Source organism: Homo sapiens, chromosome 15 (assembly GCF_000001405.40).
Source record: "Homo sapiens chromosome 15, GRCh38.p14 Primary Assembly".
NCBI classification, from domain to species: Eukaryota; Metazoa; Chordata; class Mammalia; order Primates; family Hominidae; genus Homo; species Homo sapiens.
The window spans coordinates 33,081,622-33,102,489 of NC_000015.10; the positions used below are offsets into that span (position 1 = coordinate 33,081,622).

The 20,868-nt window shown below is 39.3% G+C and overlaps 1 protein-coding gene across 12 annotated transcripts in view; it reads right to left on the minus strand.

The window, feature by feature from the left end:
• The window catches only part of FMN1 (formin 1), a 429,171-nt gene that overhangs the window by 316,078 nt on the left and 92,225 nt on the right, over positions 1-20,868 (minus strand). For 9 of the 12 annotated variants that reach the window (XM_011521509.4, NM_001277313.2, XM_011521504.4 and 6 more), the window contains one exon: positions 7,178-7,353. The exons of the other annotated variants lie outside the window; for them this stretch is intronic. In XM_011521509.4, coding sequence (XP_011519811.1) covers positions 7,178-7,353 — 176 coding nt within the window. The remainder of the gene's footprint in view (positions 1-7,177; positions 7,354-20,868) is intronic. 12 annotated transcript variants of the gene reach the window in all.

Consider the following 20,868-nt stretch of genomic DNA (forward strand, 5'->3'; position numbering starts at 1 on the left):
GTTCTTAAACTAAAAACAAAAGAAAACAAGTCCAGAAGTAGTGGAGCGGTAGAAGGACTTAACATTTAAGTACTTGAGTCTAGACTCAGATCTGGGTTTAAATCCTGCCCGTGCCCTTGCTGATTTGTACAGTATGTATACTAACACCTCTAAGGGCAGGGTCTGGCCTTTAGGAAGTGATCGGTAAGACATGGAGGTTCTTATTACCGTTTAGACAGTCAAGCTTGGGAGGAGCCTTGGTAATTACATCCAGGTTCATAAGATACAATTACTTGGAACGGGATGCTTTGTCTTCCCCAGACAATTAAGCTAATTCAGTAAAAAGTATGCAGGGCCTCACAGGTGAGAAGGGGATTGTGATGAGCCTTGGAAACCAGAATCAACAAGAAGAGTTCAGGGGTGTGTGTGTGTGTGTGTGTGTGTGTGTGTGTGTAAGACGGAGTCTCGCTTTGTCACCCAGGCTGGAAAACAATGTGTGTGTGTGTGTGTGTGTGTGTGTGTGTGTGTGTGTAAGACAGAGTCTCGCTCTGTCACCTCTGCCTCCCAGTTCAAGCGATTCTTCTGCCTCAGCCTCCCGAGCATCTGGGATTACAGGCGCCCACCGCCACGGTCGGCTAATTTTTGTGTTTTCAGTAGAGACGGGGTTTCATCATGTTGGTCAGGCTGGTCTCCAACTCCCGACCTCAGGTGATCCACCTGCCTCGGCCTCCCAAAGTGTTTTAAAAGCTGGCATGCAAAATCTTATTTCCAGAGAGTACTGCCACCAGGATATAATCCTAATGACTACTTACCTGTTTCCTGCTTTTCATATCTTTGTTTTCAATTTCAGGCCATACCTCTTTTTAGGGTCTTTTCTACCCACCCATGTCTTTGTTTATAGACACATTACAAACTATTCTCCATGGTGAGCATTCCTCTCCAATGGTATCTTCAGGAAACTGCACTTGTTATAAGAATTTAGGCCCCAGTGCTTCTCTAGTCTCTGACTATATTCAGTTGCCTTTGATAAATCTGGTTGAAAGTGCCCTAGGACCTGAGATGCATGGCTAATGGTAGCTCCTAGTTCAGTGGAACATAAAAAACTGACTCTTCAGGCTAACTTCTTAATATTCATGTCCTAAATGGGCGCTCCGGGGTGACTGATAGATGCTACCCAAGGGCAATTCACACATTTGGATCTTGTTTCAAAAGTAATATCTAGGAGTGATAGAGTTAGTTAATAAAATATAGGATACCCAGTTAAATATGAATTTTAGATTAAAAAAAACCAAAAAATTTTGTAATATAGGCATGTCCCATACAATATTTGGAAACTTCATGGCCCAAAAGTGGAGCTGACAGAGCTTTGGGTTCAGTCTTTCCAGAGCTTTGTAGTTTGCCCATAATAGTCTACAGAATTTGCTTGACCAGGATTTGCAGGATAATTACCCAAACAGAGCTTCCCTACACAGCAGTCTAGCATCTACACCAAAGTACCAGTTGTGTGATATACTGATATAATGAGAAATACACTGTATATTTCGTCTTCATCTGGGTCCTGGACAGAACTTCTAAAACCCTCGTAACTTCTTAAGTGATAAGAGCCATAGAAGTAGTAATAATATTTGGATATACTCAAATATATTCAAATATATATAGAAGTTGTAATATTTGTTTTTTGTCCTCAGCTTCTGAAACAGCTCAGAAACAATATTGGTGAAAGGGGCATCTTTTGTTATTCAGAACAAGCCCCTTTCAACTACACTTGAACTTATGTTAATGAGGTGACTTTTAGAGGATGGGAGGCTGGTTGCCAAGGGAACCTTGTGATTAGGGTTGGCATTTTGCGTCCCAACAACTCACCTCCAGGAGGGTAGAGAGGCTAAAGGTTGAGCTAATCACCAATGTAATGAAATCTGCATAAAAACCCTACCCAAAGAAGTTCTGTCTCCACAGGGACAGACGCTCTTGTGCTCTGGACCCTTCCAGACCTCACCCTATGTATCTCTTGATCTGGCTATTCATTTGTATCCTTTAAAAATATCCTTTGTAATAAATTGGTAATGTCAGAGACGTTTGAACCACAGCGACTTCATCTTGAATAGGGGATGGGTAAAATAAGGCTGAGACCTGCTGGGCTGCATTCCTAGTAGATTAGGCATTCTTAGTCACAGGATAAAAAAGAAGGTTACCACAAGATACAGGTCACAAAGACCCTGCTGATACAGGATGTCATAAAGAAGCCAGCCAAAACCCACCAAAACCAAGATGGCTACAAAAGTGACCTCTGGTCATCCTCACGGCTCATTACATGCTAATTATAACGCATCAGCATGCTAAAAGACACTCCCAACAGTGCCATGACAGTTTGCAAATGCCATGGTCATGTTGGGAAGTTTGCTTATATGGTCTAAAAAGGGGAGGGACCCTCAATTCCAGGAAATCCCTGCCCCTTTCCTGGAAAACTCATGAATAATTCACCCCTTATTTAGCATACAATTAAGAAATAACTACAGGTATATTCAGTCAAGCAGCCCACACCACTGTGCTCTGCCTATGGAGTAGCTATTCTTTTATTCCTTTACTTTCTTAGTAAACCTGCTTTTACTTTATGGACTTGCCCCAAATTCTCTCTTGTGTAAGGTCCAAGAACCCTTTCTTGGGGTCTGGATCAAGACCCCTATCTGGTAACAGTAATAGTCAGTAAATTGTTTCCTTGGGTTGTACAAGTTATCCTAGCAAATTACTGAACCCGAAGAGGGGGTCATAGGAACCTATTTGTATCCAAGTTGGACAGAAGTTATGGGTAACCTGGGAACCCACTACTTGTGACTGGCATCTGAGGTGTGGCAGTTTTGTGGGACCGAATCCTTAACTTGTGGGATGTGGCTACAGTTCCAAGTAGATCGTGTCAATTGAATTGTGGGACATCTAGTTGGTGTCTACAGGCAATTGGGGAATTGCTTGTTATGAAAAACACGTACACTTGGGTCTCAGAATGTCAGAAGTGTTGTGAAGGTAAAGGAGGTTTTGTTTGTTTGTTTGTTTTCATTTAGTTTGTTAAATAGATGCCCCCAGAGTCTTCCTAGTGCTTGTCCTACACCAACCCCACCTCCTGCCATTCCCCAAGGAACCCCTGAGTCTTCTCATAGTTTAGTAACTAAAAGATGAATGCCCAGCTAAATGAGGGGACTTAGTAACAGCTGTAGCCTTAACACCAGTGTCCATCCTGACTCACGGATGCCAACTCCCACCAATTATTTCAAGTATGAGATGTTTTACCTTTCATCACGTACTAATGAGAGTCAGTGTAGCCACAGAAAAAGGCTTAAGAAAGTTAACATCCTGATTGTGACGCTGCAAGTCAGGTTTAAAACTGGAAGCACGGCAGTGCTGGTCCAATGTCTCAGGCTGATCAATATATTGCTTAGAGTCCAAAGCCCACCAGAGGAAAGGGGTTTTTGTGAGCTGCTAGTCATTAACAGCAGGCTATTTTTTTCTTCTTTTTTTACTTTTTGATTTCTGTAAGCTATTGGGAAACAGGTGCTGTTTGGTTACATGAGTTAAGTTCTTTAGTGGTGATTTATGAGATTTGCACCCATCACCCAAGCAGTATACACTGCCCCAATTTGTAGTCTTTTATAGGATACACATTTGTTCTAAATAAGTAGAATCCTTTCAGATAGAAACCTTACCTAGAATATCAATATTTAAACATATAGGAGTCAAATCACACTGTCCAAAGAGGGGAGAAGGGCTTGAGGTGAGGAAGGAAACACAGGGCCCAAACTATAAAAACTGTTGATTCAGAAAATAATCTAAAAAAACTATTTTAGTTTTATAATTCTGATTAATGAAAAACTAAGCAACATACTAATATATACTGTTTAATTACACAGTATTTATATATACAAATATATATATCACATGTATTTATACATATATTAAAATTATACATATATACATATGCATAATTTATATATCATATATGTAATATATAAATATATAAAGCCCATAAAAGGCTAGTTCAGGAAATAGACATTTTTCATCTAGTGATAAATATCAAAAAACCTAAAAATACTTATAGAAAAGAATCCACCTCCTAGAATTTTATCATAAGGAAATAGTCCTAAATAATGGGGGGAAAGGGTATAGGAAAAATTGTATTTGTAGTCACGCTATTTTATTTCTAAATAGTGGTCCTATTCCAAAACTGGAAACAACTTCAATATCCAATAACAGAGAAATAATTAAATAAATTTTGGCATATCATTTCATGGAATATTCATCACTTAAAACACATCTGTAACGAGCTTGCAACAGCCTGGATAAGCAGTTTAAGAGTAATTGTTTGAAAGAGAGAGGAGGAGACCAGGTGCGGTGGCTCACGCCTGTAATCCCAGCACTTTGAGAGGCTGAGGCAGGCGGATCATGAGGCCAGGAGATCCAGACCATCCTGGCTAACACAGTGAAACCCCGTTTCTACTGAAAATACAAAAAATTAGCTGGGCGTGGTGGCATGCGCCTGTAGTCCCAGCTACTCAGGAGGCTGAGGCAGGAGAATCGCTTAAACCCAGGAGGCGGAGGTTGCAGTGAGCCAAGATTATGCCACTGCGCTCCAGCCTGAGCGACAGAGCAAGACTCCATCTCAAATTAAAAAAAAAAAAAAAAAGCAAAAACAAGACGAGGTTATAAAATCTGGCATGCTTTTATGTTTAAAAAAAATCTCTCATTGAAAAACAAACCATACTTAGTGAAAAAATACAAAAAAAAATTTATCAAATTGTACAGTCGTCTCAGCTGCTAAGATTATGAGGTTTTTTTTTCACTGTAACTATGTATTTCAAATTTTCTATAAGGATTGTGTAGGATTTTTATAATTGTAAAAAATTAAGTAATCATTTAATTTACAGAGGAAAAGGAAAACCAGAAATACACAGTTTAGCCAATTTTAAAAAACACATAAACACAGTATTTTTTAAAAACACAGAAGAAAAAGAAAGTAGCTTTTCAAAATCTACTTCAGCACTTTTACACTGTAGGCCTGCTGTTTGCGGCAAATGCAACTTAAAGTAATTGACCAACAGATGTCACTGTTACACTTCCTACTTTAAGCATCTCTAAAGACGCACAACTTTATATATGGGAACAAAACCAAAAACTTTACTAATTCTCATGTCATCTCCTGCAGGACTGCAGCTTTCTCATCTTTCAGCTTCATTTCTAAACCTCCTTTTGTAATATCTGGAATGTTGAATGCTGTTCTAAAATGACATACAGTGACCATGGTTTTATGGTTATGAAAAATACAGGGTTCTCCTGCTCTTTGATTGCCACCCATGTGAACATCACAGACTTAACCCACACTCGTCAAAAACATGGTTCCAGGTCTGAAAGTAATGAGCCGGAGAACACAAGGTTGTCAACAGGCATTAAAGTTAATGGCTAAAAAAAGAAAAAGTGCTCCTTAGATTTGTGGTGCTCACCTCATCTGTGACAGGAAACTGGATGGGTAAAGAGGGATTGCAGAGAATCACAATAATCTGGTCAATCCTACCAGGCCATCTAAATGTGGAAGTAGGTGAACCCCAGCCCAGTGCTTTCTAAGGAGGAGTCAATACTTCTGTGTCAATGAAAACAAGAATGAATAAGAAAGGAGAAGGTAGCTGGATGTGGTGGCTCACGCCTGTAATCCAGCACTTTGGGAGGCTGAGGCAGGGAACATTTTTGAGGTCAAGAGTTCGAGAACAGCCTGGCCAACATGGTGAAACCCCATCTCTACTAAAAATACAAAAATTAGCTGGGTGTGGTAGCTCACGCCTGTAAGCCCAGCTTCTCAGGAGGCTGAGGTGGGAGGACCGCTTGAACCCGGGAGGCAGAGGTTGCAATGAGCCAAGATCGTGCCACTGCACTCCAGCCTGAGCAACAGAGCAAGACTCCATCTCAAAAAAACAGAACAACAACAACAACAAAAAGAAAACAGGGAAGGCTATGTTTTTCTGAACTAAAAGTAGATCCATCATTTGATGCAGCAATCCAACTACTGGGTATCTACCCAGAGGAAAAGAAGTCATTATACGAAAAAGATACTTGCACATGCATGTTTATTAGCACAATTTGCAATTGCAAAACTATAGAACCAGCCCAAATCCCCATCAATCACAATGAGTGGATAAATAAAATGTGGTATATATTTACATATATACATATACACATATATATACATATATACATATACATACACACACATATATACATATACCATGGAATACTAAGCCATAGAAAGGAATGAAATAACGCCATTTGCAGCAAACTGGGTAAAATCGGAGACTATTATTCTAAGTAAAGTAACTCAGGAATGGAAAACCAAACATTCTATGTTCTCACTCATAAGTGGGAGCTAAGCTATGAGGACGCAAAGGCATCAGAATGATACAATGGACTTTGGGGACTTGAGGGAAAGGGTTGGGGGAAGCGAAGGATAAAGACTACACACTGGGTACAGTGTACACTGCTTACATGATGGGTGCACCAAAATCTCAGTAATCCCCACTAAAGAACTTATTCATGTAACCAAACACCACCTGTTCGCCAAAAACCTATTGAAATTAAAAAAATTTAAAAAATTTAAAAAAAACTGCAGAGGTTATTAAAAGTGAACAAAAACTTTAAAAAAGAGAAGGGAGGTGGTTATGTTTTTTAAATGCATTATCCTATATTCTGCAGATTTTCTGCCAACCTAGTCACCTGTTATTTGAGCAGCTGGAGAGAAAGGTTCATGAATATGGAAGGAAGGCAGGGTATTCGGATTTCACTTGAGAATCCAGAGCATATCAGTTGGCTTTACATATGTTATTGACAAATTTTTAGTAAAAGGATATTAAGAAGTGACTAGCAACCAGTGGGTACTCCCACAATGAGAGATCTAGGCTGCAAAGCTAATGAACAGAGCGCTCTGAGAACACTCAGGTTAAATGACAAACACAGTCACTTCCAGACAAGTTGCTAGTTACTTTCTAGTGTACAAATTTCAGATCACCAAGATGCATCTTCATTTTCTGCAGCCCACTGATTTTTTTTAAACAATGATCCATACATTAAATGCAGCTTTATATACACAATTTACATTAAATACATATTAAATGAGCCTCTGTTGACCACAAAGAACCACAGCACAATCACCAAGATTTCTACTTACATGGAGATCCAAGTACAATTCGCTCCTGTTTGACTTCTCCCTTTCCTCATGAAGCAAAAATGGACAGGCTGGTCCCGCTCTGTAGCCCAGAACCCACGCGCCTCCATCTCTGTTGGGAAGGTCTTTAGGTGTCTGCTCATTGAAGCCGTCCCAGGGAAAGCCCTCAGAGGAGATACCTAAACAAACACAGAGAAGGCCATCAGTGACATGGCAGCCAAATAAATAAATAAATAAAGCCATATTTGGGGAACTCCTACATAGACTTCTCTATGCTAGCTCTTACTTTGCTTTCTAAGTTATATTTTTAAGAGACTGCTTTCCTTTAAAAGTATTTCTCCCGACAATTTCTAGATCACACCAACAAAAATTTACAACATACGCCCTCATCCCCCAAGTCTATTGGCTGTACTCTATGCCCCATATTCTTGCTTACAGGTTGCATGGGTCATTCTATCTCAGCATGAAATCAGAGGAGCTAGGGGACAGAAGTCAGGAGGTCTGGCCTGCTGGCTTTCCTACAGTTCCTAAACAGCGTCATCTGAGCCAAGTCACTAATGTGTGTGTTCTCCAGGGCAGGAACTGTGCCTTGTTCATCTTCATTTCTGGGAACAGAATCATTATGCATGGTGCATACCGGACTTGGACAGTTTGTTGAACGAGTGAGTAGTGCATGAGAAACCCATTTTGGATTCGCTTTTGTCATCTCTAGAATCAAAGGTATTAGTCTAGCTTATTCTAACCTAAACTATAGGCAAGTTTAGGTTTGCCATAGGATGATAATCATTAACTATGTGCCAGACACTGTTTTTAGTTCTGTTCAATTTTTATGACAACATATAGTTAGGTATCATTAGTGTTCTCATTTTAAATGGGGAAACTGAAGTACAAAGAAGTTAAGCAATTTGCTCAAAATCATAAAATCAGTAAATGGTTAAGCTAGGACTTGAACCCAGGCAGTTAAACAATAGAGGGCCGTGCTTTTAATGACCACACTATGGCCTCTGCCTGACATTCTATTCTTAAGATGGCAATATGTGTTCTATAACAAAAGGATTTTACGGTCAAGTAAGTGTGAGAAAAGCTACATACTGTATCTCTTAAAGAATCATGATTCATGTTAGCATATTAAAGACCTTGGGATGCCCTTTAGTACAGAAAACCTAATTCTATATAATAGGGTTTTCCAAACTTATTTGACCACAGAATCCATTTAAAGGGACATCTGCTAAACATGTCGCAAGCCACTTAATGTTGTACTGGACACTTCTAATGTTTCATACAGCACTCAAGTTCCTAGTCCTCTTTTAATTCCTGGTAAGCAACCTTGGCAAAATTTTAAGCCACTAGGCAGAAGTTAAAGGTTTAGGCTCAGTGTATTTTGCAATAGAGATCACTGTTGAATATACGACAGAGTGTTTATTACACATAATCCCTGTAAGAGTCTATTTGGCAGTCACCCAAAGCCAACCAATGGCTTCTACCATGCTGAAACCTGACTTACACGAAACTAGAGCTGAGAGTAAAAGTCAGCTCAGAAAGGAACTGCGAGATAGCATGCTTATATTAGAGTAGCATTTTAGAAGGAAGAAAATTTGAAAACAGCTAAGGTTTGGCTGTTGTTTGCCTGTTTGGTTTATTAGTTTTCAATCACACTTCAGAATGATGCAGGTCACAGTGTGTCTATAGTTGCCCTCTAGCAGGCTGTCCACAAAACACCTTTCTGCAACCACTGAGAAAAATGAGAGTCCAGGGCTTCCCCAGTCTATGTTCCCCCTGCAGACACAGTTGTCTAGAAGAGTATACCCAGGCTCTTCCTTCATCTCGGTCAGATCCCTTAGAACAAAGTGCCTTTCCACTCAATCCCCTTGCTACCCACTGTCTACAGACAGTCTTCTGGCCTTTCATTTAGGGTCTCACATGCTTTAGAGTGACCCACTTCTAGTCTCAAGACATAGGAATGAACTAATGCCTAAAGGAACCTCAGGGAGAAGGCACTCTGCTTAGCACCTTTGCTTTATGCTCATGTTGACTCTGAGGAAGATAGTACTGCTTATATTTTAACAGATGAAGAAATTAAAGCTCAGACCTCCTTTGACTTCTATTTATATGGCTCATCCTCCTCCTGGACTATTTCTATTCACCTTTGGCATAAATTTTTTAAAATTTACAGTATACTCTCACTGTACTACCTCATCTTCCAAGATGTTTTGGTTACTAATCACATCCCTCATTTTAAATCCCTCCACCTTTCATTTTTCTTTTGAAGTAGCTGCTGGCTTTGGGTAAAGTTTGCACAGAATAATAAAACAATATAAAACATAACATATATAATATGTATCACAAAACACAATGTACAACACCTGAGGTAAGACATTTGTATCATCAGAGGCACATTGTCTGGTGAGTGTAAGTTCATCATTTAGGTACAAGAGAGTGAAACATTCCCATAACAACAAGGATTTGGGGTCCTTGAAACACACATGCATGCATATTTATGCAAACACACATGCAAACCCCTCACACACCTGCAGTGGCTATCCAATACTGCATTAATGAGGTGAGGTGTGCAATCCAATTCACTCTCTACGCAGAGCAAAAACAATGTCAAGGTGAAAGTTATCTTCTTTCTGGAAATGGTTTTAGTTTTAAAGAGTTAATTTCTGATACCTAAGGTTTAACCAGACAATATCCCTATGAAGGAAACATGCAAGGTAAAACCATGATGCATAATAATTTTGGCAAGAATCATTTGGACAGAAAAGGACCATAAGTAACATAAAACTGAAATAAGTAACATAAAACCATTATTCTCAAAAGTCTGACAAAGTAGGTTAGGACAAATGACAAAGTCAACATTCTGACGACCACAATGTATTTATAAAATAATTTGGGAATGGAGAGTTTTAGTAATACAAACAACTTTTTTTCAGTCAAAAATAAAGCACGTCTGTATTTATTAAAATGGGTAATACCCAAGCTAGTCTCTCCAGCTGAATAAATTTAATAAAAAGAGAAAAAAATCATCTGAAATTAGATAAATATATTCTGTCAAAACAGTCAACTGTCATTTAATTTTCCGACACAAATAGATTTGGGGGTGTTAGATCTTTAGAGAATATTTTGTGAAAAACTGAATCAGTCTTATCAGTTTAAACATGTCTTTCCTTTTCATGTGCATACTACAAACCTGTTTTGTACTCAGTATTAGTTATTTTGTTCCTCAAAGACATTTCAACAGTTTGATCGATCACACATACACACACAGGTTATCTGTACAGCTGACCACGGTTAATACAACGTACAGCACAGTCACAGTAAAGGTAGGGTGACTTACCTTGGAACCACTTTGAAAGTCTGTGCTTTTCAAAGCCATTCACATGATGAGCTGCACTTCCTGATGCTAACCTACAACATCAGACTGAGGTTTTGCTGTCAATTATCAAAACAACAGAAGCAGACAGAATGCAAAGGTAATAATATGCCATTTAAAACAGGAGGCAGTGTCCACAGCTCATCTTTCCAAAATAGAATCAGTCTGTCTAGCAGGGGTACATTGGATTATTGTTCCCACTGTTTCACTCCCTCCCTGCAATATGATCACGCACCCACGGCCTTTTCTGGTCTATTTCCCCTGCCACGTGACTTCCTTTGGCCATCTGAATGTAAACAATGTGACAGTGTGCCAATTAAGGCTGTAAGACGCACGGTGTGTTTTCATGCCCCGCCCTGTGCTTCTGCCCTCACCATGAGACGAACATGGTCCTCGGGAGCTTCGAATGAGACGTGGAACATCTGTCCCAGGCACAGTCCTGCAAGCCTGGAGCCAAGCTCAGTCAAACCCAGGCCCAATCGAGTGAACCTTAGCCAACTCCCAGGCCAGTACGTAAAAACAATACATATTTATTATAAGCCACTGAGATTTGAGGCCTATTTGTTGAAATAGTTGCCTCATACACTATCATGTCTGCTCCCACTAGAAGCACTGTAATTATTAAAGACATTAAACCTTTTCAGCTGAGGGCTTAAACACAACAGTGTTTTTGTTTTGTAACTTGTACTGAAAAAAATTATTCAATGCACTGCAAGGATCTGAAAAATCAAGTGAAAAACTCATGGCACACCCATTTACTCATTCATACCAAGATTCATGCACAAACTACATTTTATTAAAAAGTTATTTACCAGATATTGTCTTTAATCGTCTAAGAATATACATATAAAAATATACCAATTTCCTAAAGGAAGTCTGTGAACATACTATATAACCAGCAGATCTGGACAAAAGTCCCTAAGGGACAAAATTACAGTGCCTTTTAAGCTGTTTCCTCTAATTCTCCCATCATACCAAGCCCTCACTTGACAGCAATGACGAAGTGGTTATGCATCCAGAAAGAGGAGAGAAAAAACAAAAACCCTAAGCTTAAAACTCTCCTCAGTTTTAGCTCCTGTGTTGTAGTGCCCAAGGCACTACATAAAATAAACCCTAAGAGGTAAAGTTTTCTCAGCCGTGAATATCAGAACTGATATGTACAGGTAGACATATCTTCCATTATGTTATTCAAACGTGTACTTACCAGCAAGAAAGACAGCAATCTAGATGTACAGCTAATGGAAAGTGACACTGCTAAGTGCTTGTGGAGTGGATGTGTGGCTGTGTGTGTAATCACTCATGTCTGTATCTAAGAAGACAGAGCTGTGGCAAAAGTATAGTCTCATGGCTGGTATCTGTCAATTAGAGATCAATGCTCACTAATGCAACTGCCCCCATTTTCATTCTCAGCAGTGTTAAATGACACAATGTCACCAAACCACCTAGGTAGATACAATTCTGAGAAGGTGTGGTATCTATCCACCCCAGCCTCTAACTCCTCACTGGGAAGTATGTGGGGAGAGAAATGATGAATGAGCAAAGATGGACAGGCGGAAGGTGTGGCCAGGCAGAGAAAGGCTGATGGCAAATCAAAAAGTAGCAGAGAGTGGGGAGCAAGCTCTGTAAGTCTGAACATTGATGAGGAAAGCATCCATAGCCATCAGGCAACTGCAATGTAGTTTGCATTTCTAAAATCATGCTTAAATTCAAATAAAATAAAACAAATTTACAGTTGGAAAGAATCTTGTATATCTCCCCACCTACATGCTCATTTTATAGTTGAGAGAACCAAAACCCATGAAGATTGCAGTATTTCCAACATGCCCAGCTAGCAGCAAAGGCAGAACTAAAATCTAAGTTCTTTATGCTATTTAGAGAAAGATATTATTGCCAGTCTCCAGATGAGAATATTGAGGGCTAAGAGAGAAGCAGACGTGAACAAGTTAAGAGCGTGGGTACAGGGCTTTAACATGTGGGCTAAATTCCTGGCTGTGACCTTTACTAATTATTTGACCTTGGTGAAGTTACCAAAACTCCCTGAGTCTTTTTCCCTCATCAATAAAATGAAGATAATAAGAATATGTCTGATATTGAACTAGGCTCACAATTATTTTCTTTCAGAAGACTTTTCCTGGGCTGGGGGATAGATAGATTTGATGGGAGAAGCAAGTAATTTCCTGTTTTAAGTAAAGAACTCTATATACAATGAGGGCATATCCAACATCACACAGTCATGTGAAAGGCTATTTTTCTTTTGTCAGAGAAGATAAGGAGAATAACAATAAAGCTTATAAGAATTCAGTTGCACTGCAGTGCAGCAGATCCTAAATCTGTTCATGTTCCAAAAATAGAATTCACGTCATCAAATGCAACAGCTCCAAGTAAGTGGCTGATCATCTCTGGAAACAACAGCTCCTCAGGGTCGTTCATAGATACCCTATGATACTCCTTCCCAGAAAGTCAAACATAGGAGCCTAGAGCCATGAATGGAACTATTTATAGTCATGCCTTTAAATGAAATAGCATTTTAAGGAAGTATATAAATATCTCTTTGATTATTTTATTAACCTCCTTCCACGGTTTTCTCCTGTGAAGAATACTAGTTGAGGGATGTGTATTACTCAGACTAGGAAACTTATGTGTGGCCATAGTTACACTGGATATTTTAACACTTGAAAAACAGGGGCACAGATGATGCTAACAATGGATAGAGCACCTAGGTAAGTCCTGATGCAGAAAAGATCAAGGAAAGAACAAATTTAGGAGATTGTAGGATTCACTGAGACATTAAAAGCCTCCGTCTACTCCCAGATAATAAATGCTCAAAACATTAGATGTTAGTACTTCAAATACTTAAGTGATCAAAAAATTTTAGTATGTTTGGTTATAAAGAATATGACCGGGTGCAGTGGCCCACCCCTGTAATTCCAGCACTTTGGGAAGCTGAGGTGGGCAGATCACTAGAGGTCAGGAGTTTGAGACCAGCCTGGCCAACATGGCAAAACCCCATCTCTACTGAAAATACAAAAAGTAACTGGGTGTGGTGGGTGGTGCCTGTAATCCCAGCTACTTGGAAGGCTGAGGCACAAGAATTGCTTGAACCCGGGAGGCAGAGGTTGCAGTGAGCCGAGATTGTGCCACTGCACTCCAGCCTGGGCAACAGAGTAAGACTGTCTCAAAAAAAACAAAAAGAAAAAAGAAAGAATATACTTGCTTGTTAACAAAAAACATGTATATATATTTTTGAGATGGAGTCTCACTGTGTCACCCAGGCTGGAGTGCAGTGGTATGATTACAACTCACTGTAGCCTTGGCCTCCTGTGCTCAGCAATCCTCCTGCCTCGGCCTCCCAAGTAGCTGGGACAACAGGTGTGCACCACCACACAAGGCTAGTTTTTAATTTTTTTTTGTAGAGATAGACTCTTGCTGTGTTGCCTCAAGTGATCCTACCACCTTGGCCTCTCAAAGTGTTGCGATTACAGGCATAAGTCATTGTGCCTGGCCCCAAAAATATTATTGAAGAATAAGAATGCAAAAAAAAGTCATATGGCATTCATTACAAGTAAATTTGAATAACATTTTCCCTTTTATGTCACATTATTCCAATTATTATGAGGATGGTTGCACCAGTGGGAAATCCAACTCTTGAAGACATATGATGTAATTACTGGTTGTCTTAATAGCTAAGGAAGTAAAGTAGAGAAAAAATTACAAAATACTAAGCCCTGGATTATGAAATATATAATAAATGATTTTTTTAAAAACTTCCTTTCCAAAAAGAAATGATCCTAGCAAACTCACAAAAAGGAATATACGTAACAAGGTAAATACCAAAAAAAAAAAAAGAAGGCACATTTACTATTAAATGTGATTGAGCATACACAATACAATTAAGAGACTGAAAATACAATATGGCTCTGAGTGTCCTTGCAACATAGTGAGAATGAAAGGACATTCTTTATTTCATTCCTATCATCAAAAGGAAGAAACAAGCTGATCCCTGATGGCTGACAGAAGTTTTTGTGATATAAAATTCTGAGAAAAACAGCTGTATAATCTTAGTTCCCACCTTTGCCTTAGCTCCATCCCAGGTGTTTGGTCTAACAATTATCTTTACACAATATTGTTGCCAGCACTAGAGCCAATAAGGCTGGTCTAGTCGTCTGTCAATAACCTTTGCCCTTCTAACCAGAAAAGTCTGGATATTACCTTGATTGCCCAATGATCTGGAATTAAAGTGATGAACTCTTCATCAGAGCTGCTAAGAAATGGCCTCTATAACACATCCAGATTCGTAAATCGCCACCTTTTGCCTGAGTGTCTTAGGCACCAGAGTTTTCCTATCTCCCTTCCTCCACCAGTCATTAGTACTGAGAAGGAGTCCTGTACTTTACTCCAGCACCGGATTTATCACTTTCTCTCCCAACAAATCTACTTTTTTTTTTTTCTTAGACAGGGTCTCACTATATCATCTAGGCTGGAGTGCTGTGGTGCGATCCTGGATCACTGCAGCCTTGACCTCCCGGGCTCAGGTGACAAGTGATCTTCCCACCTCAGCCTCCCAAGTAGCTGGGACCACATGCACCACCATGCCCAGCTATTTATTTTTGTATCTTTGGATTTTGGTTTTACCATTTTGCCCAGGCTAGTATCGAACCCCTAGGCTAAAGCAATCCGCCAGCCTTGGCTTTCCAAAGTGCTGGGATTACAGGCATGCACCAACTCGCCTCGCTGCCCCATTTTTATTTACACATACTTCAGACTGGTTGATAATGTCCCATAGGTCACTGGGGCTCTGGTAATTTTTTTCAGTCCAGAAATCACCTCAGTAGAAAGCATAGGTAGCCGGGCACAGCGGCTCATGCCTGTAATCCCAGCACTTTGGGAGGCCGAGGTGGGTGGATCACTTAAGCTCACGAGTTCAAGACCAGCCTTGGTGACATGGCAAAACCCCATCTCTACTAAAAAAAATACAAAAATCAGCCAAGCCTGGTGGCCTGCGCCTGTGGTGCCAGCTACTTGGGAGGCTGAGGTGGGAGGATCACTTGTTACTTGAGCCTGGGAGGTTGAGGCTGCAGTGAGCCAAGATCACACCACTGCACTACAGCCTGGATGACAGAGTGAGACCCTGTCTTAAAAAAAAAAAAAAGAGAGAGAGAGAGAGATGGGCTAAAAGGAGCAGAAAAATACTTAAAGAAGTATTGGCTTCAATTTTCCAAATTTGAAGAAAATTATTAACCCACAGATCACAGTAGCTCAATGACTCCCCAGCAGGATAAATACAAAGAAAACTACAATAAATAAACTGGAAAATCAGTGATAAAAAGACAATTATAAAAGTGGACAAGGAAAAAATATTATGTATAGAAAACTAAAGAATCACTAGACTTCTCAGAACATGCAGCCCAAAAGACAGTGGAAAGAGAACTTTAAAGTGTCGAAACCACCTTAGGGAAAAATAGTGGGGAGGAGGGCAGACAGAGAGATAAACAGAGAACTTCCATAATGATAAAAGAGTCACTTCATCAAAAAGACATAACATGCCTACATTTTCATTATTTGTACCTCGCATTAATAACAGAACTTCAAAATACATGAAGCAAAACTATCAGAACTGAAATAATTACATAAATAGACACATATTTGGAGATGTCAATATTCCTTTCTTAGTAATTACAACAGCTTGACAGAAAATCAGTACAGATATAGAAAAACTAAACATTACCCATCAATTTTACCTCACATTTATAACACACTCCATTCACAGTAACTGTAGAATATGTATTTTTGCAAGTACATATGGAATTTATCAAAATAGACCGCACACTGGGCCACAAAACAAGTCTCAATGAATTTAAAAGGATCAAAATCATATGAAATATATTCATTGGCTACAATGGAATTAAATTAGGTACTGATAACAGAAAATTATTCGGAAAATCCCAAAAACTTGGAAATGAGACCATACACTTCAAAATAACTCATAGGTCAAAGAAGAATCACAAAGGAAATTAGAAAATATTTGGAACACAGCTAATTCAATAATCAGAGAGAAACTGATAGCCTTACTTCATGCTGAGTGACTGTCCTCCCCCAATAGGGCTGATGGCATTTCTCCTCCGGACTGGGGGAGATGTCAGGCATAACTGATGCATGATTAACTCATAGCAAAGTGGATTCAGTGACCACATGCTTCCTGAATGCTGAATGCTGAGGCCTGAGCTCCCACCTCCCCCTCTCTAGGCTTCCAGAACACTTGTCTTCTCTAAAACTAGGCACACACTACAACATTATTCTGAGAGAAACATGACCAGCTCAAGAGAAAGAACTGGGAGACAATGACACAGGAGGTTCCTCAATCAACAGCCAGGCCTGATCACCCTACAGTGATGTTCAAATCCAGTATTCTTACACAGGCACTCAGGGCTTTCAGTTAGCTTTTTAGTACCCACACCTCACGCAGGTAGACAACCAATGATTATGAGACAGCGGAGGAGAATTTCTAACATAAAGAGCAGGTAAAAGAGTAACAGGAGGATGAGGTTGTGTCACTGCATACCTGCTGAATCAAGATTTTGGAGATGGCTACTTTCTTCTACCACCACAGCTCTTACTACGTGGCCCTTTTCCCTGCCTCTAGTTCTTGCCAGGTTCCTGTAATACTCTCTCCTCCCTTTCCCCTTCAGGCCTAAGGTTGGTAAGGGCTTTCTACTGTTGCTAGTTCCTCGGAAGCTCACAAGCCCATGCTTGTTTTCTGGGGCCCTTCAATCTCCACACAATCTCTTCAGTTATTTTCATTTTAAACTCTCTTGAATAGCCCAGGCGTGGTGGCTCATGCCTGTAATCCTAACACTTTGGGAAGCTGAGGCTGGTGGACTGCTTGAGCCCAGGAGTTCAAGACCAGCCTGGGCAACATGGTGAAACCCCATCTACAAAACTCCATCTACAAAAAAAAGACCCAATCTACAAAAAGTTAGCCAGGTGGGGTGGCGCGCACCTGTAGTCTCAGCTACTCTGGAGGCTGAGGTGGGAGGACTGCTTGAGCCTGGAAGGTTGAGGCTGCAGTGAGGCAAGATCGTGCCATTGCACTTCAACCTGGGTGGCAGACTGAGACCCTGTCTCAAATAAGTCAATCTATCAATAAACTCTTTCGAGTGTACTGTGTGTCAGGACTCTGACTGACACAATAATTGGCATCAGGAATCATGTTTATTTCCTACCTTCTAGCACTTCTGTATGTATCACTAAGGCATCTAGGGTGATTGCTACATGATGCTCACCATGCTCAATTAGAATAATAGCAGCAATGTGATGTGCCAGTATAATCTTTTGAGAGCTATCAAGATCAGCAAACTCCTTTCAGAATGTATCATGAAAGAGAATAGGAAAATTGTCATAACCCTAAAAGAAGACAGTGATGGTACAGTGCCGTTCTTTCCAGGATGAATTGATATGAAAATAAAGCATTTGTAAATCAATAAATGCATATTAGATTTAAGGAGCTGTGTTGATATATTTGGTAGGGATACCATATCTGAAACAGCACCTGCAATTGGCATCCCCATTTATGTTTCCAATAATCCAGTCATTCTCTAAAAGTCATCTAGTTTTCTCACTAAACAAAAAGGAATTTAAGTGGGAATATGGTATGAGTTACCATTTCTGCATTTTTCCAAGCTTTGAGGTAGCATAAATCTCTGCAATTTCTCCAGCACATGTCTTTCTCCCAGAATACACAGCTGTGGGACTCAAAAGAGGAGGTGAGACTGGCCCTTTTTACTATTATACCTAATAAATCATTTGCATAACTTTTGCTTCCTGTCATTGCAACTTTGGGCTTGGTGGGTTTGGAGGTCTTCGTGTCCAAAAGAGGAATGCTTCCAGTAGGGAACTTAGCCATCATTCCACTCAACAGGAAGCTGAGAGTGCTTCTTGGCCATTTTAGTTTCTTATACATTAGAGACACATTTATTTAGTTTTAGTGCCTAACGAAATGAATCTTTTTGGTAGAATAGAATATTTTGAACTGAGCCTAGAGTCTTAAACTTTCACAGTAAAAAAAAAAAAAAAAAAAGGTAGGAAATATAAAACTGCACATTTGGAAAAATAATATAGTATATGAATGCCTCAATAAATGAATGTCCTCATATCAATATTAAGATAACACAGGGAAGCTATTGTGAAACAAATACACTCAAAGGTTTCTGGTAAAGGAGTAAATTGGTCTACAACTTTGAAAAGATATTTGGCAATATCTGAAACGGGGGTTGACACCTATGCCCGAAGGCCAAATACAGCCTACTGCCTGTTTTGTACATTTTTACATTTTTAAAGGAGGAAAGGGAGGAGGAGGGGAGGGGTCAAGATGGGGAGAGGGAAAAAGAGGAAGAGAAGCAGTTGCAGCAACAGAGGTCTTACGGCCCACAAAGTCAAAAATATTTACTATTTGGTTTTACAGAAGAAGTTTTCAAACCCCTGTTCTAAAATATTAAACATATTCATATCCTTTAACCAATAAAAATCCACTTGTGTGAATCTATCCTTCTGTGAATTTAAGTAAATGGAAGCTAATCATAAAGAATCATCATCGTTGTTATTTGAGATCTATTACAAATATACAAGGTATCCACCAAAATATAATCTATGACAGAAAAAAGTGGGAAACAAAACACCATCGATTGTGATATAGTCATTACTGTGGAATATTATATAATTATTTAAAATCATGTTTCCAAAGAATATGTAATACATAAGAAAATGTTCACAATATGACATCAAGTATGAAATACAATTCTTACCCTGATTTTAAACACATAAAAGAGATCAAAATGTTAGCAACAAGTTTCTTCTTTATATTTTTCTGTACTTTCTACCGTTTTTTCAATGGACTTTCTAAATTTCATTTAGAAAATGAAGCAACTATTAATTTTATAATCAGAAAACAATAAAAATAAGTAAAAAGGTAGAAAATGGATTTGAACAAGCCTTAACCACCAAAGGATGGTAAGACACTGAAAATCATCTGTAAATTGAAGCTGCATGTCGAGCCAAATCTGGCACTGACTATCTGCCAATGATGTATTATTTCAAGATGTGCAAGTTGAGTATACTGGAGGAGGTTGGCGATTTGGTAAATTCAGTTAATGGTATTCTAATTTCAAACTATACTTACCTACATAATCCTGTAATCTAGGGGTGTCTAATCTTTTGGCTTCCCTGGGCCACATTGGAAGAAAAATTGTCTTTAGCCACATGTAAGATACACTAACACTAACAATAGCTGATGAGCTTAAGAAAAAAAAAAATCACAAAAAATGTTTTAAGCAAAGTTTATGAATTTGTATTGGGTCACATTCAAAGCTGCCCTGGGATAGGAGTTGGACAAGCTTGCTGTAATTCTTCATGGTAATCCCTGCCCCCTAACTCAAATCCCAGTCTGAAGCACAAAATAAATTCTATTTTAAACCAAAAATACAGCTATTTTTACCTGCCATTCTTTGGCAGCATGAGATCTAACAACAAGAGACTTTATGTCATTGTTTTAAATCCTATCCCATCGGTCCTATGATTATGACATTTCCCTTCTCATAGACCTTCAACAACTTCTTGTTGCATACAGAATAGAACCCAAATTCTTTGGTTGGATAGGGAGACCATTTATGCTTGGCTTTCACATATTCTTCTGAATCCCCATCTATAACCCCACATAGGTATCCCGGCTTCCAGCTGTACTGGGCTGCTTTCCATTCCTCATAATACACTTCCTTGTCTATTCACTTTATTTGGACTGACTGTATACCAGTATCTGAAAGACAAGTGCTACCCATCCTTCAGCACCCTCCTTAAATTTCAATTCCTCTACCAAGTTTACTTGTGTCTTCCAAACTAAGTTTATCTCCCCTTTTCTATTCTTTTGGGTGTACTCTGTACATGTATGATACTACAGCATGTGACGCTCCGTTATGTGCTAATTTATTTTATGTGTATCTGCTTTACCATAAAGCTGAGTCTTCAGAGGTTTTCCCCTATATCAGGACCTGTGTCTTTGTAAGTATTACTGAGCAAGTTCCAGAAGCATTCATACTCAAATTCAAAGACATAATTTCCCCCTTAATTTTCAATGAAAGAAGGAGCTATTGTTGAAATGAGAAGATGTGCTAGGGAGGGATGTAAATAGAGGAGTAAAACATTGGGGAGCAGAAAGATAAAAGTTTTCTTTCAAACTCCAAAGCTAGACTATTCTCATAAAACTAAATTTAAGTAAATGGAAGCTAGTGTTCCATCAGGTAGAAGGTGAACCCAGTCTTAAGTCACCCCTAAA